Genomic DNA, 15,672 nt, shown 5'->3' with positions numbered 1-15,672 from the left:
TTTATACTAATGTGATATGTTCCCTTTCTCTCTTCAGCTTAATAACTGGTTTATATTTTGTTTTGATTTTTCAGTCCCGTCTTTTACCTTCACACCAACAGGTATATATTTGCACTTACCCTCCTCCTTTCCATTGTTAGTTTGGCATGTGTTCCACTATTGTGTTTCTGTTTTTATTTCATTTTCTGCAGTAAGTTGGGGGAAAGAACTTAAAGTGGAATGTAATACTTGATTTACTCACACCAGGCATGTGTTTAAGGTAGAAATGGTTGGTGTTGCTTTTCATCCATTCGATGCAATTATTTATTCACAATTCCACACTGGATCTTGGCCTTGTTTGCATGTGTTTCATTAAGTAGACACACTGTCTCTACCTTCAGCATGATTTAACATGCTAATGATCTTATTGACTACTTCAGACTTGACAGTGCATTTTTCAACTTAAGCTTTCAAGTTTTCCAACAAAAATTTCTCTCCCTTATAATTCTCTGTCCCCAGAATCAATATTGTTAAAGGTAACCACAATATCCAGCACATGTGAAAGATAGAACTTTTCGTTTTCCCTAAGTCAGAATCCTAATATTCCGTTCTATCCAATTTCTTTCAAAATGGGTCCTCTTCTGTCATATCACCTCCAGGAAAAGATGTACGTGTAGTTGTGCCCTCTCAGTTTTAATCCAGTTATTGTCATCACTGGGAGCAGTTATCTCTCTATAACAGACTTCCAGTTTGGAGTTCTTCTAAGTAGCAGAACTTGGCAGCTTTAAAAACACATTTCTTCTTAGAAAATGTGTCTGTATTTACAGAAAAGCTAATCTTCTTAACCACTTAGCCTAACTATGTGAAAATCTTTTTTTTGTTATGGTTAAATTTTTCCATCCCAAATTTATTAAGCTGAGGATGCTTTCAAGAGCATTATAATATATTTTGATTATCTATACATGTCTGATGAAAATATAATGAGAAATAATTTGCAGAAGCCACAATAAAAAATAGGTCACATGAATTAATAGTCACAACTTGGCATACATCTTTGTGTGTAGAAAGGTTTATTTTAACATTTCTCTTTGACTTACTGGTACTCATACTTCCGGGAAAATAATCTAGTAGTTTTTTTTTTTCCTGAGTTTAAGTTTACACCTATATAAAATTATGAAATTATGTGCTCCAATAATAAATTCAAAATGGAAATCCATCGGAATGCTAATGTACAGATGTGTAACAGTTATATTTAATAAGTGTACTGATGTTTTGCTTTTTCTTGATTCTCCACCTTATTGGAATTTGAAGAAAATAAGAGTGATATATAGATATCTAATTATATATATAATTAGATATATGATATGTATATCTAATTCTATACAATATTTAAAGAAATGTCACTAGTTGAATCAATCTGTTACGTCATGTGATTTTTGCAATGCTTCTGTCTAGGAAGACAGAAGGAATTCCATTTTAGAAAGAAGCTCATGAATGTAATAGCTTTTGATATATAAATATGTCTATTAATTGTTCCTTTTTTTTTTCGTAACATTCTAGTAACTTACCAGAGAGGAGGCGAAGCTGTCAGCAGTGGAGGGAGGTAATTATCTTGCTTGTTTTGTAGATCCTACAGGGAATTCCAAATATTTCTTCATCTTCCTCAATGACACCACTTTCTCTGCTTAAAAAGTCTAACTTAAAGGTGGAATTTATTTAGTTCCTTGACGAAGACTCCATTCAGCTATGCTGTTGAAACAAGCTGTTTACACACAAATGTAGTTGATTGGAGTAGTTGCATCTTAGTCAGTGACCACTAGAGGGAGGACTTTAACTGAGAAAGAGACTTGCTGATTTAGCAAATGATTAAAAGGAGTTAAAGTGACTAAGCGGTGGCATTTATGAAGATTAACAAATACAGCTAGTTAACTAATACTATCCAAGAAAAAGAGTTCATTTGAAAAACCTGCTGAACACAGCAATTGCTCATAAGTTGTAGGTTATGTTTGTTTATTCTTGTTATGAATTCAACATAGTTCACTTCCCCATTTGCAGGAAAATGTGTTGAAATAAAAGAGGAAATCTGGGTAACTTGTTAACAAAGAATGTTTTCCCTCCTCTAATTGAAATGAATCTCATATTTATGATTTTTAAAGTAATTATTATTCAGTGAACTTTAATATATTCACAGAGAAATCACAAATTGATGTGACAACCAGCTTAAAGGGGCTGAAATAAGGTATAAGTTATGTGATGAGCCAAGCTTCAGAATTTTTCACAATAAGATGTTTTTTTTTTCTCCAAAACAGTAACATCTAGCTTACAGTGTAAAAAAAAAAAAATCTTCCAACCAAAACCATCTTATAATTCAAATTCAGTGAACTTACTAAATTCCCTTCTTTGTACAGCTGTATAACATGACTGCTACTAGAAAGATAACAATGAGTAAGATATTATTCCTAAATTCAAGGAACATACCACCGGATAAGAAAATTACTGAATTTAGTATATAACAAAGAGTGGTTTAAAAAAAAAGAAGGTTGACCACCTTTAGCCAATGCTGTACAAATTTGGCAACAAGTACTAATCTTTTCTTTCCTGGGTATTGCTAACTTCCTGTTTTCATACCTGTGAAACAAAGCCAGCCAGTGACAGACCCAAAGCTAGGGAGGTTTTCATAAGGAATAAATCCACTTGATTCAGGAATTAAACCAGGGCATGTTTGTGCATCCAGGGGAATTCCATCTAAATCACAGCCCAGACATTCATGAAAGAGCCTCTGGCATAAGAACATTTTCTCGTGGGTGAATCTGGAATACCTGATTTTATAACCACTTCATTACATGTGTATATTTCAACCTCCTCACTAATCAAAGCATGTGAAAGTGCTTCTTGAGTGTCTTTGATATGTTCTTCACTAGCCTCTGTGCGTGGGTGTGTGTACACAAGTATCACACACACATACAGAAAAATAAGCTTGGTTCCTACTCTAAAAGAATTTACAACCTGGATAGAGCAAACTGGCACATGGGAAACAATGGCAGGAATGCATAGGTAGCAAATGCTAGTTGCCACGGCAGGATGGAAAAATTACAAAGTTCCTGAGCTATTTGGAAAGCTCACTATATCACAAAACAAACATAGCTTTTTAAAGTTAAAAATAAAATCCCTGTCAGTGAAACTGATTTATTTCAAATAGTAAGTAGAAATGATCATTTTCCTAAATGAAATGCTAAACGATGTTGGGATGTTACGGAGGCAACAGTTCAATAAAGATTTCAGAGTCAATGCTCAAAATGTCAGTTATATACAAAATTTTAGAATTATTTATTCATGCAATATATTGAACACTTACTATGTGACAGGTGCTAGTTTACTTACTTGGGAAGCATCAGTAAGCAAAGTGTATAAAAATTCCTGCCCTTCCAGACCTTACATTATAGTGGCGGAAATGCGAGATGAATAATAAACATTTTTTTAAAAAGTCAGCTGTACAATATCAGCAGTTGATAAATGCTACGGAAAAAATAAAATAGGATGAGGACAATAAGGATGCTTTACGAAGGGGCCTCATTCCTAGCCACTTACGGATGTGTGTGTCATTGTGTGTGTATGTGTGTCTGTGTCTATGTTTCGTGATCTAGTGAGATCAGAGAGGGAATAATGAACCAAACTCCTACACTGACTTCTCTTGTGTCTGCCCCTTAAGCACTGGTTTCCCTCATGTGTTTCAGACTTTCTGAGTCCTCACTGGACCTCCTACCTCACATAGTTAATGACACCAAAGCCAAAACCTTCCAGCCATCCTCTTGGACCTCCTGTATCCATTACTGCATTTTGTTGATGCTGTCTCTTACTCCTTTCACTCTCATATTGTTTCATTTCAAGCCCTACTTCTCCTTTGCCTAATCTATGACAAAAGCTCTCAGGAGTCCTACCTTTATCTATAATACCTTCATTAGCATTATTTCCTGCTAATTCCCTTTGCTCACTGGAGACAGAACGATCTTTTGAAATGCATATTGATCATGTTTCTGAGCTCCAGAAAATCCCATTATCAATAGGACCTATCATGTTTAGAATATCAGATCCAAACTCGGCATAATATGCAAAGTCCACAGCTCTAGGTCTCTGCAGACTTACTTCACACCTCAAAATGTGCCAGACCCTACAATCCACTGTGTCACCCCACCTGCCATTTGCCAAGATTGCATTCTCTTATGTGTCCTTACTACACTGTGCATGTATTACATAGGTCTGGACTGTCTCCCCACCCAGCGACCCTTCTCAGTTTACTGAATTCCACCTACTATGCCCTCCATTAACTCTCTAATGTGGAATTACCTCAATGAAGTGCGTAACATAAGGTGATGCGGTTATCTTTTGTTTATGTCAGAGGTCAGTGAATTATGGCTCTTGGGCCAAATCCAGCCTGCCACCTGTTTTTGTAAATAAAGTTTTATAAGAATACAGCTAGGCTCATTTGTTTACATATTTTCTATGACTGTGTTTGAGCCACATTGGCAGAGTTGAGTAGTTATCAAATAAGCTCTATGGCTTGGGAAGCCTTAAAATGTTACTATCTGGTCCTTTACCAAAAACGTTTGGCAACTCCTGGTGGATATGATTGCCTCTGACAAGAGAGTGTGAGTTCCTGGAGGATGCAGATTACGTGGTTTATTTATCGATAAATGGGTTTTTAATAATGCAATAAATTACATAAATAAATGCGATAAATCACATGAATGATTAATTTTTGATAGATGTCACCTATAAGTAAAAAAAAAATGAATGAGCCATTGAATAAATGAATGTCAGAAGGCCTGAGTTCAGTCCTTTGTAACTTCAGAGAAATTGTGGAGGCTGTATTTTTTCCTCTGATAAAAGGAGAAGGTTATCTAGAGCTCTGTTATCATTGTGAACATTGCAAATGTGGCTATTCCTGGAAAAGAGAGAATGAAGAGTGTGGTAAGCAAAGAGACTGCTTCCCAACTTAAAAAGGGCAAAGAATTTGTGAGAAAATCCAGGGAAATGATCATGGAAATATTAAGTAGCCGTTGCTACTCATTTGTTTTCCTTTCCTCAAACATTCCAGGCAATGTGTCCAAAAAACATACTTAATCCAAACCACAGCATAAAGCAAGAAAGCAGAGAAAACCTGAGAAGGGTGGGATGGGAAAGTCTGGCTAACCTGGTAGAGAATGCCAATACCACATTCCCTGTTGGTGGGAGGTGAGGAAATAGAGCTCAAGCCTTTGCTTCTCTTTAAAATATTGGCAATTCTGAGATCTAGCCCTTGGCTTTATAGCTCATTCAATCTGCCAGTGGGAAGGGGAGACAGCCTATAGCCTGACAAGGCTTCCTGCCAGCCTCCTTCACCATTTCCGCAGCTCCTGGACTCTGTAGTGTTTTATTTTGTGATTTAGCAGTTCAAATAGGCTTTCTTGGGGTGAGTGATTGGAATAGCAAGAGAAGAGTAGGAATTGAAGGTAATTGCCATATAATTACTAAAGTGCATTTGCCCTCTTTTTTCTTCATGACGCAAATCTATCCACTTATTATATTATATGATAATATTACATGATAATATTTAAGAAACATGTTAATCCCTATAACCACCATGTGTATTTTTTCTGCTTCATATCTTAAGCTCGAATATATAAGGGTAGCCTGGGAAATTGTTTAAAAAAAGACCTTAGAACCCTTATTAGAGTAGGTACATATGACCTTGACTTCCTCAAAGTCATCTCAGATCTACACATGGCATTTTAAGGTTCATTATAGGCCAGTAATCATGGCTCACCTTCTGCCTTAAATAACTAGCATTCCAAATTCAAGTCTAAACAGAAAACTAGGATGTAAATCGATAAGTCAGCTTCCTGTTGGAAATCACTCATATATATGAAAAGGTCTCTCAGCCTATGATGATATCAAAGCATTCACTATGAAAGTGTTTTTCAGAGGGAATCAGAGCAGCATAAAAATATTGTCTATTTCTTTTGAAACATGTAAGTCAGTCTGTGGAAAATCTCCTCTTGGCCCATATTTCAGACGTCCTATAACATCTCTGCTGTGTCACATATGGAGTTTTATTTTTAATAACTTCTACAGTGATAACATTCATAGTTTAAGTTCAAAGAAAAATAAAATAAGAAAGCAAAAGATTACTAGATGCAGAATTCCTATAACTAATATCTATTTCAAGGCTCCAGATATCTGTGTTATAATTTGCATTTAAATGTTTAAAATTTCAACAGTTTGGAAACGTTACTCTTCAAATCACGATTTATCAACAATTTTAATAGTAAGATGGCTCAGTTTTAACAGCTTACACTTCCGATATTTTCTCCACTCTTCCTTTCATTAAGAATATTCCAGAGCTTTAGGAACTTTTAGTACTCTCCAGTGTATGTGTTTATAAAATCTTAGAGTGTAAAGTCTAGGGCCAGCCTGCTAGGGTATGAATTTCAGCTCTGCCACTCACTCACTTTAAGTAACCATGCACAAACTTCTTAACCTCTCTTAGACGTCCCATTTCCTCATCTTTAAAATCTGGATAACAGTACCTCCCTTGTAAAATTGTCGTGATGACCACATGAGTTCATCCCTGTTTAAAAACAAACAAACAAACAAACAAACAAACGGAACAATGCCTCACACATTATAAGCAAAGGGTAAATATTTATTTTTATTATATAACTATATGTACCCACATATGCATACAAAAATGAATCACAAGTCCATAGCCTTTGTTTAGAATGGATTACTTCTCAACCATCATTTGCATACTAAATTTTACTCAGTAGACTATGTGCTAGAATAAGAACCATGGAAGGTGAAATATCAGATTTCTTGCTTCCCAGGTAAATAAGAAACATAATTATTGCATTTTAACATAGAAAATAAAACCACCAAGAAAATCTTTGCAGAGTCTGTAATGCCAGTCTGTTTATTGTGAATGGGACGTCACCTCTTTTGCTGAATGGAGGTAAGTATGAAGTCGGTGCTGGAAAAGGAAATGAAGAATCCCACTCTTCAACTCCAGTTTGAGTCCCTGGCTCTGTTGGTCCAAGGCTCCCATTAATAATCGCTGATGTACTTGGCATTCCCAATGCACAGTAAAAGAGGAATAGCATCTTCTGCCAAAAAATAACAAAATGAACACTAATATTCTTTTTAGTGGACATCTCTGTTTTATCAGATTTAATTCATCAGCTTTCCTTTGCTTATGTTGGGATTTATGACATTTTACATTGTCACCATCAGAAAATGTTGACAAGCTTACAGAACTATGCTCTGAAACATTGATGAGGATCTGTGTAAAATGTCACAGAGCCCCAAACTCATTAAGTATGAAACATGGTTTTGGAGAAAAATACGCCAGTACATTTAATTTGAAGAATCTATTGTCTGAGTAAAGAGGCTTGTTTCATTTTTTAATGAAGTTGTAAGGAGTCACAATTTTTTAATGGGTCAAAATGAAGAAGTGCCAACTATCTGAACTAGGGTATTTTTTTAAACCACTAAAAGACTCAAAAATATGTTCATATTCCATGTTTGATTTTTAACCATTATGACTAAAGGCAGAGTAGAACATTGCAAATGATACGAGATTTTAGGTCTGATGCATAACTCTTCCCGTGTACAGTTATGGCTATGTAAATGGAGGCACATCCCAGAACCTTATATTACAGTTGCCTGTGTGTAGAATAAAAGGGATAATAATGTCATTCAGCATAGTTCATCAGATGATTTGTGAGCATAACAAGATGAGGAATTTATTGGAATTTTAAATAGAAAATATTACTCTCTATTCATATAACATTTGCTTTAATATTTTTTTTTTATTTAGGCCTGGACTTCTCAACATCAGTGAACCTGCCGCGCAGCCATGGCTGGCAGACACGTGGCCTAATACTGGCAACAACCACAATGACTGCTCCATCAGCTGCTGCACGGCAGGCAATGGAAACAGCGACAGCAACCTCACTACCTACAGTCGCCCAGGTTAGGGACACAGAGAGAGCCTGATATGTATAAGCTTTTTAAGGAACTAGCCAGAAGATCTTTTCTTTCCCTCTCCCTACATGGGAAAGATAAAATTTGACCCGTATTTTATCCAATGCTGACTATTGTTTAGCAAAATAGCCTGATTTAAGTATTTTCTCCATCCCTTAACCTCCATACTTTGCTAAAGTCCACCAAAAAAGTTTTGCCCAGAGAATTGGGAAGATAAATTCTACAATCAATAGCAAGTAGGAAAAATAAAATCATGTGAAAGTATTTATTTATTTATTTATTATTTATTGGAGACAGAATCTCACTCTGATGCTCAGGCTGGAGTGTAGTGGCATCCACTTCCTGAGTTCCAGTGATTCTCATGCCTCAGCCTCCCGAGTAGCTGGGACTACAGGCCTGCACCATCAGGCTCAGCTAATTTTTATATATTTTTTTTAAGTAGAGATGGGGTTTTGCCATGTTGCCCAGGCTGGCCTCGAACTCCTGGCCTCACGTGATCCATTCACCTCGGCTTCCCAAAGTGCTGGGAGTACAGGCGTGAGCCACTGTGCCCAGCCATAAAAGTATTTAACTTTTTTTATTTTTTTGACAAGAGTCTCACTCTGTAGGCCAGGCTGGAGCTCAGAGGCGCAATCTCAGCTCACTGCAACCTCCGCCTCCTGGGTTCAAGTGATTCTCCTGCCTCAGCCTCCCAAGTAGCTGGGATTGTAGTCACACAACACCACACCCAGCTAATTTTTATATTTTTAGTAGAGATAGGGTTTTACCATGTTGGCCAGGCTGGTCAAATGTATTTATGTTGATAAGAATGTATGTGATTACAATTTCTTTTACCTTTTTTGCTTGTTTGTTGTTTTTTGAGATAGAATCTCGCTCTTCACCTAGGCTGGAGTGCAGTGGCATTAACACAGCTCACTGCAACCTCCACCTCCTGGGCTCAACTAATCCTCTCACCTCAGCCTCCCAAGTAGCTGAGATCACAGGCACGCACCACCATGCCTGGCTAATTTAAAAAATTTTTTTTGTAGAGATGCAGGTCTTGCTATGTTGCTCAGGCTGGTCTCAAATTCCTGGGCTCAGGCAGCCCTCCTGCCTCAGCCTCCCAAAGTGTTGGGATTACAGGGGTGAGCTACTGTGCCTGGCATATAATTTTTAATTGTAATTAAATAATCTTTAATCATATTTAATCATTTTTGAGATTTTGGGAGTAACACAGATCAAAAGGTAAATAAATTCATAGTTATAATGAACCAAATTCTTTAATAGCAAAAATAATAATAATCTACAACAGTAATAACAAAAAAATTTAAATAAAAATTAACTGAAATTTAAAATCAGATTTTATGGTATAGTAGCAAATCCTGAGGACACGATATATATATATATGTACATATTAAGTGTGTGTGTATATATATACACACATATATGTATGTATATACACCTATATGTAAGTATATATATACACATATACATATATGTATGTGTGTATACACACATACATATATGTATATAAGTGTATATATATACACACATACACACATATATATACACACACACACACTGCAGGTGTGCATGCATACATTTATTTTCTATTGTTTGTTTTTTGAGTCAGATGTATGTGTGAGTAAATTATCTTGCTAAAATTTCATGCCAAAACATAATAGTAAAAAATCAGATGTACAGTCTGCAAGATTTAAAGGAATAAAAATTACCAAAGATTTCTTACCAAACAACCCCTCCCCCCCCCAAAAAAAAACCCAATATTGCCAATATAGGAAATATTAAAATTATTGTATGGAATCTCTATGATGATAGAAGTAAAATAACCTGTGGAATTACGGAAAGGCGAGAGAGAAGTTGGATTTAAGTAAAGATGCTATGCACTATAAAGAACAAATCATAGAGCAGTCTGCATGTCTGCCCTTAAAGCGAATCCTGAGTGTCCACTGGACGTGGATGTGACGTATCCATGTGACCAAGTCTCTGTCCTCTAGAGGCCCATATTCTGAATGTCTAGACAGATAGATACTCATGTAATCATAAGTACAAGAAAAACTGGGTTGAGACCTATAGGAGAGAAAAAATGGCGATACCCATTTAATAGGTAGAGCTGTGTTGTCCAATATGGTAGCCATTGGCAACAGATGGCTATTTACATTGAATTTAATAAAATATAGTTTAAAACTCAGTCCCTCTTTTGCACTAGCTACATTTCTAGTGCTCAGTGGCCACGTGTGACTGGTGGCTGCTGTATCAGACAAAGTGGAGTAGACCATGTCCAATATCTCCAAAGTTCTGTTGGATAACACAAATATAGACAGATTGGCGAAACAAAATGAGAATGCAAAAACCACATGATCTTTATAGTATTTCTTAACCACTGTTAAACAAAACTAGAAATTAGAAATAAGAATCACAAAGTCCAGATGAATCAAATATTTCTGTTCCCTGACGGTTCATGGTTGAAATGCAGAATAGTTGAATTCAGTAGGATAGAGAAATTACACATTTTTCTTAAGATTATATTCACATTTACATCTTTAGTAACAAACATGTTAATTTATAATTTTTAAACATATCCAGTTAAAAACCAATGCTACAGGTGACTTGTTAATGTTGGTACCACTTTTGGACAACATGCATAAAATAATGACATTTTTACCATTGTAATTTAACTAATTTTTCTATTTAAAATCTATTTTAATTTAAAAATATGATTTCAGTTCTTCCTACCATTTTAATATTTTCAACTGCAGGCCATATATATATATATATATATATATATATATATATATAAAATGAATGTATATATTATGTATGTATATTCAGTTATTTAATGTCCAAATATTTCAATAGAGAGAAAACTGGAGTGGAAATGAGATATTAGATATTTAAGTATTATTTCAGGCTTATTTGATTCAATTACCCAGGTTACTATGATTCCTTTTGTTATTATTATTATTGTCATTTTATATTTCTTTGGTTGTCATTATGAAACCATGAGAAAATAATTATATAGCATGTTTTCCGGATAATGATTATCCAACAGGACTACAACAAGAACTAATAGAATTCTCCTTAGTACCATTTACTATCATTTTACCCCTGTTCCCATATCTTTTAAATGTAGGTATTTTATAAAATACCAAAATCTCAAGTTCTTTGATCTATGAATAGTTTTTTCCTTTGGATTTTTCATTTATGTGCTTTGTCTGTTGCTTCAGCAGCTAACCAGTAGCTTCAAATAATTCAGTAACCAAAGACTAGAAAATAAAAAGTTGACACATAAAGATATACATGTATATATTATTTTAGTGGAATTCCTATTAATGAGGTTATTAAATGAAAATTATTTTAAATTGGATGAATTGTTTACTTCAGCACTATCAGAAATTCAAATTTATTTAGTCTCTACAAATTCTGTGTACCCTCTTTTATTTTTTCAATTATTAATTTTCTTTAGAAAGCACATGTGGATATTTGGCCGTTTTTATTGATCTTATTTAAGCCCACTTGTACTTTACATAACGATTTTCTGATGACTCGCAAAGCTACGTAAAAAGAAATTTAAAAGGAATAACCACGCAGAATGATTTTTTCCTTTTCCTCTCCATTGCACATAGCTGATTGTATAGCAAATTATAACAACCAACTGGATAACAAACAAACAAATCTGATGCTCCCTGAGTCAACTGTTTATGGTGATGTGGACCTTAGTAACAAAATCAATGAGATGAAAACCTTCAATAGCCCAAATCTGAAGGATGGGCGTTTTGTCAATCCATCAGGGCAGCCTACTCCTTACGCCACCACTCAGCTCATCCAGTCAAACCTCAGCAACAACATGAACAATGGCAGCGGGGACTCTGGCGAGAAGCACTGGAAACCACTGGGACAGCAGAAACAAGAAGTGGCACCAGTTCAGTACAACATCGTGGAGCAAAACAAGCTGAACAAAGGTGAAGAGGCTTGCATGTATTCCCATCTGTTTCTGTATGATACTCTCAGCACCTCGACTAGATGTTGAAACTTGTCTGCGACTAGCAAGTAAAATCTTTTCTTCTGTCGCTGAGATTTTCTTATTTCTTTGGTTTCAAAATTTCCAGTGTCAAAGAGTTAATTAGCACAACAATAACCTTGGAAAATTTATTTTATAATAATATATAAGTATTTTCAAATGGTTTTGAGATTAATTTAAATTTAATAGCAGGTGAGGGATTGGGACGGACAATCTTTTATTCATGAGGCAGATGTACAACTGTCACAATACCTCGCATTTTCAATAAATAGACTATCCCATTCTTTCCACTAGAGGATGGAAGATAATTGCTTCTATGTGGTTATATAAACCAATGGCATTTTTATATCAACCTGAAATAAAATAATTAAATTAAACTTGAACTGGAGAAGTGGTTCAATTTGTTGTATGTCTCCCACCTCGTGTGGTTATTAAGACTGCTACAGTGTATAATTTTAGAACCTAAATTTCCTTGGTTGACCTGATTGAAGTCTGTCCGTATAGAACCTAAAATAAATTGAGTTTAGTATTAACTTGAAGCCGCAGAATAGTATTCTGTGGCCTGAAGGAAATGTTTCTGTATTGTAATGTGTATGAGTTGGAAAAGATAGGTGTTTGGTTTCTTTGTAGTCCTTTAGGCTACTGCTATAATATCATGATTTGCAAAGTTATACCTCTAGGAAAACCAGGATTGCTCTAATGTGAATAGATGGGGGCAATGCATCCCCACCTATTCCAGGTAAAGAATACACTGGAGATAATTGGAGACATAGACATTTTCTTTAGGTTTGGGTTGGGAACATTTTCTTTGAAAATGCGATTTATCACAGTTGAAGATGACAAAAATATAACTTAAAAATTTCATTTAAGTTAATATTATGTTTTAACTCGAGAATGAAGTCAGCTAGGCTTTTCTCAAGTTTAAGAAAGTACTTGATTGGTATAATAACCCAATTTAATAAATATGGATCGAGACTCCTGCATAAGTTCATAACAAAAACTGACAAAGATGAACAGGACAGTTTCTGTAATCATGGAGTTTGCAGTGGTGATTCAAACTATTGTCACATTATTCCTTCATAGTATATTGTTTTACTGTGGACTTCGGAAAGCCCTGAGAGCCTCCGCACAAATATTTCAGAACTCTGATTTATTGTTTATACTGCTTGTAAGCAGATTTGGTATGTCAGACCATAATAAAGAACCTGGAATGCAACTAGACGACAGATTATTACTGACTACATTCCAGTGGCAAGCTTATCATTTGGATTTTCACCTTTGCCTAAGTAAGCAGAAGCATTTCTGGGGCAAATTAAGATATTTGTTTTTTTTAATCATAGATATATTTTTTATTAGATATAACCTTGCTGACAGGTTTCAGTTTTATTTTTATGTATTGTGATTTATTTTTTATGATTTGCAGACATTTTTGTGATTCTTATTAAAATCATATTGATATTATATTATTAAAGTTATTTATAGTTTATATATATTTGGAGTATAAGCCTTTTTATATCCTGACAATCTGAATACAACAATAGAAGAGAAAAAAGGCAAATAAATGGTCCAATTTGTTTCTTTAGTTACTCAGAAATATAGAGAAAGCAGAGATGTGAAATCGCTCATGAAGAGAAAATAAATGTTTATTGTTTTTTCATCTGATATGTCTAGATTATCGAGCAAATGACACAGTTCCTCCAACTATCCCATACAACCAATCATACGACCAGAACACAGGAGGATCCTACAACAGCTCAGACCGGGGCAGTAGTACATCTGGTAAGTAAGATGAACCAAAGAACTTCTCCTTTAAAAAGCTGGTACTTTCCAAGATTACAAATTGAGTGCTAATGGACTGACGTATGTAGGTGACATGTCTAAATCACTGTATGTAATTTGAGTCTCAGGCATGTGTCTTGTCTCTGCAATTTGAGGGACTTTCCACTCACTAAATCATTTTATGTTCTATTTGGCAAAAAGACTAAGTGTCCTATTTTCTTCCTTGTTAATGAGCTTTAGCAAAGCCAGAAGAAACATGTCTGGTTAATCTTTAAAGGCAGTTGAAACTTTTTCCCCGTTGGCCAAAATATAACTAAAAATGTTGCACAGAGTTAACCTGCTAAATATGTTGCCATTTGAAACGAGCCTATAAAAGCACATAATGTTTGAGGACACTTGAGCAGAATCAAAAGCCGGAGAGACAATAACATGAGATTCAGGTACAATAGGAGCCTGTCTCAGTTTATCATCCCTCTACGATCCCTCAGTTCTTGCTCTGAAGCCTCGTAAAGCAACCTCCCAACCTCAGTCTGTAAGTGCCTCCCAAAGCCACATTGAGGCCTCTTCCCTGTGGTCTTCATGCTGTTACAGCTGTTTGCCAGCTGTTTTCCTGATAGGGGCTGCAGATGGGAGCTTGCTGGGTACTTAAGTCCTGTTTTTCTAATTAAAGGCAGTTCGTTATTAGAACTAACATGTGGCACATCACACCACAATGAGAACAAAACCGACTGATCTTGACTCTAGCAATGTTTCTCCAGGAGAGGGTAGAAATGCCACTTCCCAGCAACTGGATTAAAGTTGTTCTTAGGGGCTTTTAGCCAAGAGTCTCCACCCTTCTTCTGTAATGAATATGGCATTTGCATTTTACAGTTTTCCCTTAACTAACACGCTGGTCTGGCATTGTCTAGCCTGTGTTTCTGTTGGAATTAAGGGAGCTTAGAAATGGCCCTTTACCTTTTAGATTTACTCTGATTCTATTATATGTTATTTGTTTGTTTTAACAATTAACATCTTATTAAATGACTTCTTTTTTGAAGCTAAGTCAATCCTGAATTAAGAGAAATATTTCAAGGATCTACTTTTAAGAAAATCATATGAAATATTTTAATATTTGATTATCTTATGCCATTTGATCTTTGAATTTTTAGTCACATAGAGAAAACCATATCTTAATGGGAAAATAAACAATGATTCTAGGTTATTAATCTTTAATTGACCTTCAGCATCCCTCAGCTTAGATACCTAGATCTGGGTGTTCTACTGCTATATATCATTTGATATTCTGTGAATATATGGTAAAAAGATGTAAAGATGCGTGATGGTAATTAGGGAAGAGAACAAAGCAAGTAAATAAGGTATAGGAGAGATCTGTGATAGGCCTCTCCGGACTGATGGAGTTGCTACAGTAGATGTATATCAGGAAATCCAGAGGAAGATGTGGGTTAATGTCTAGTCTACAACACATGCACAGTTATCCCAATGCTGGACACCGGAGTGGTGGACGAGAGAAGTGAGAGACATACACATAGGACTGATAATCGTAGTTTATTAATAACAGCCTGTCCCTAGCCCACGCTTAGTGTGGTAACCTACCAGTACAAGAACATCTGGCTTAACAAACACTGCCATTTGACTGAAAATTCCCAAGTGACAAAAAAATCAAGGCTCATTGAATATGATCAGACCTGATTCATATATTACATGACTTGGAGAAGGATTGGATAGGGTTAAAAAACTAAGGCCAACATAATGCACTGATATAAAGGGAACTTATGAGAAAAATAATCATAGACTCATTGTCTATAATTCACATATGAATCAAAAATATAACATATTGGAAAGGGGATATTTTGTCCCAAAATATTTGTTGACCTAAA

At 35.4% G+C, this 15,672-nt stretch overlaps 1 protein-coding gene across 18 annotated transcripts in view; it reads left to right on the top strand.

Moving 5' to 3' along the window:
* Positions 1-15,672, top strand: part of ROBO1 (roundabout guidance receptor 1) — a 1,170,760-nt gene that overhangs the window by 1,120,269 nt on the left and 34,819 nt on the right. For 8 of the 18 annotated variants that reach the window (XM_017006982.2, NM_002941.4, XM_011533976.1 and 5 more), the window contains 5 exons: positions 75-101; positions 1,540-1,582; positions 7,832-7,986; positions 11,622-11,957; positions 13,688-13,795. In XM_017006982.2, the coding sequence (XP_016862471.1) occupies positions 75-101; positions 1,540-1,582; positions 7,832-7,986; positions 11,622-11,957; positions 13,688-13,795 (669 nt within the window). The remainder of the gene's footprint in view (positions 1-74; positions 102-1,539; positions 1,583-7,831; positions 7,987-11,621; positions 11,958-13,687; positions 13,796-15,672) is intronic. The other 10 variants (XM_047448664.1, XM_011533980.1, XM_047448665.1 and 7 more) reach the window with 3 other exon arrangements.

The sequence above is a fragment of the Homo sapiens genome, chromosome 3 (assembly GCF_000001405.40).
Source record: "Homo sapiens chromosome 3, GRCh38.p14 Primary Assembly".
NCBI classification, from domain to species: Eukaryota; Metazoa; Chordata; class Mammalia; order Primates; family Hominidae; genus Homo; species Homo sapiens.
Note: the sequence above shows the minus strand (reverse complement) of the source record. Positions and strands in the feature narration are given on the sequence as shown.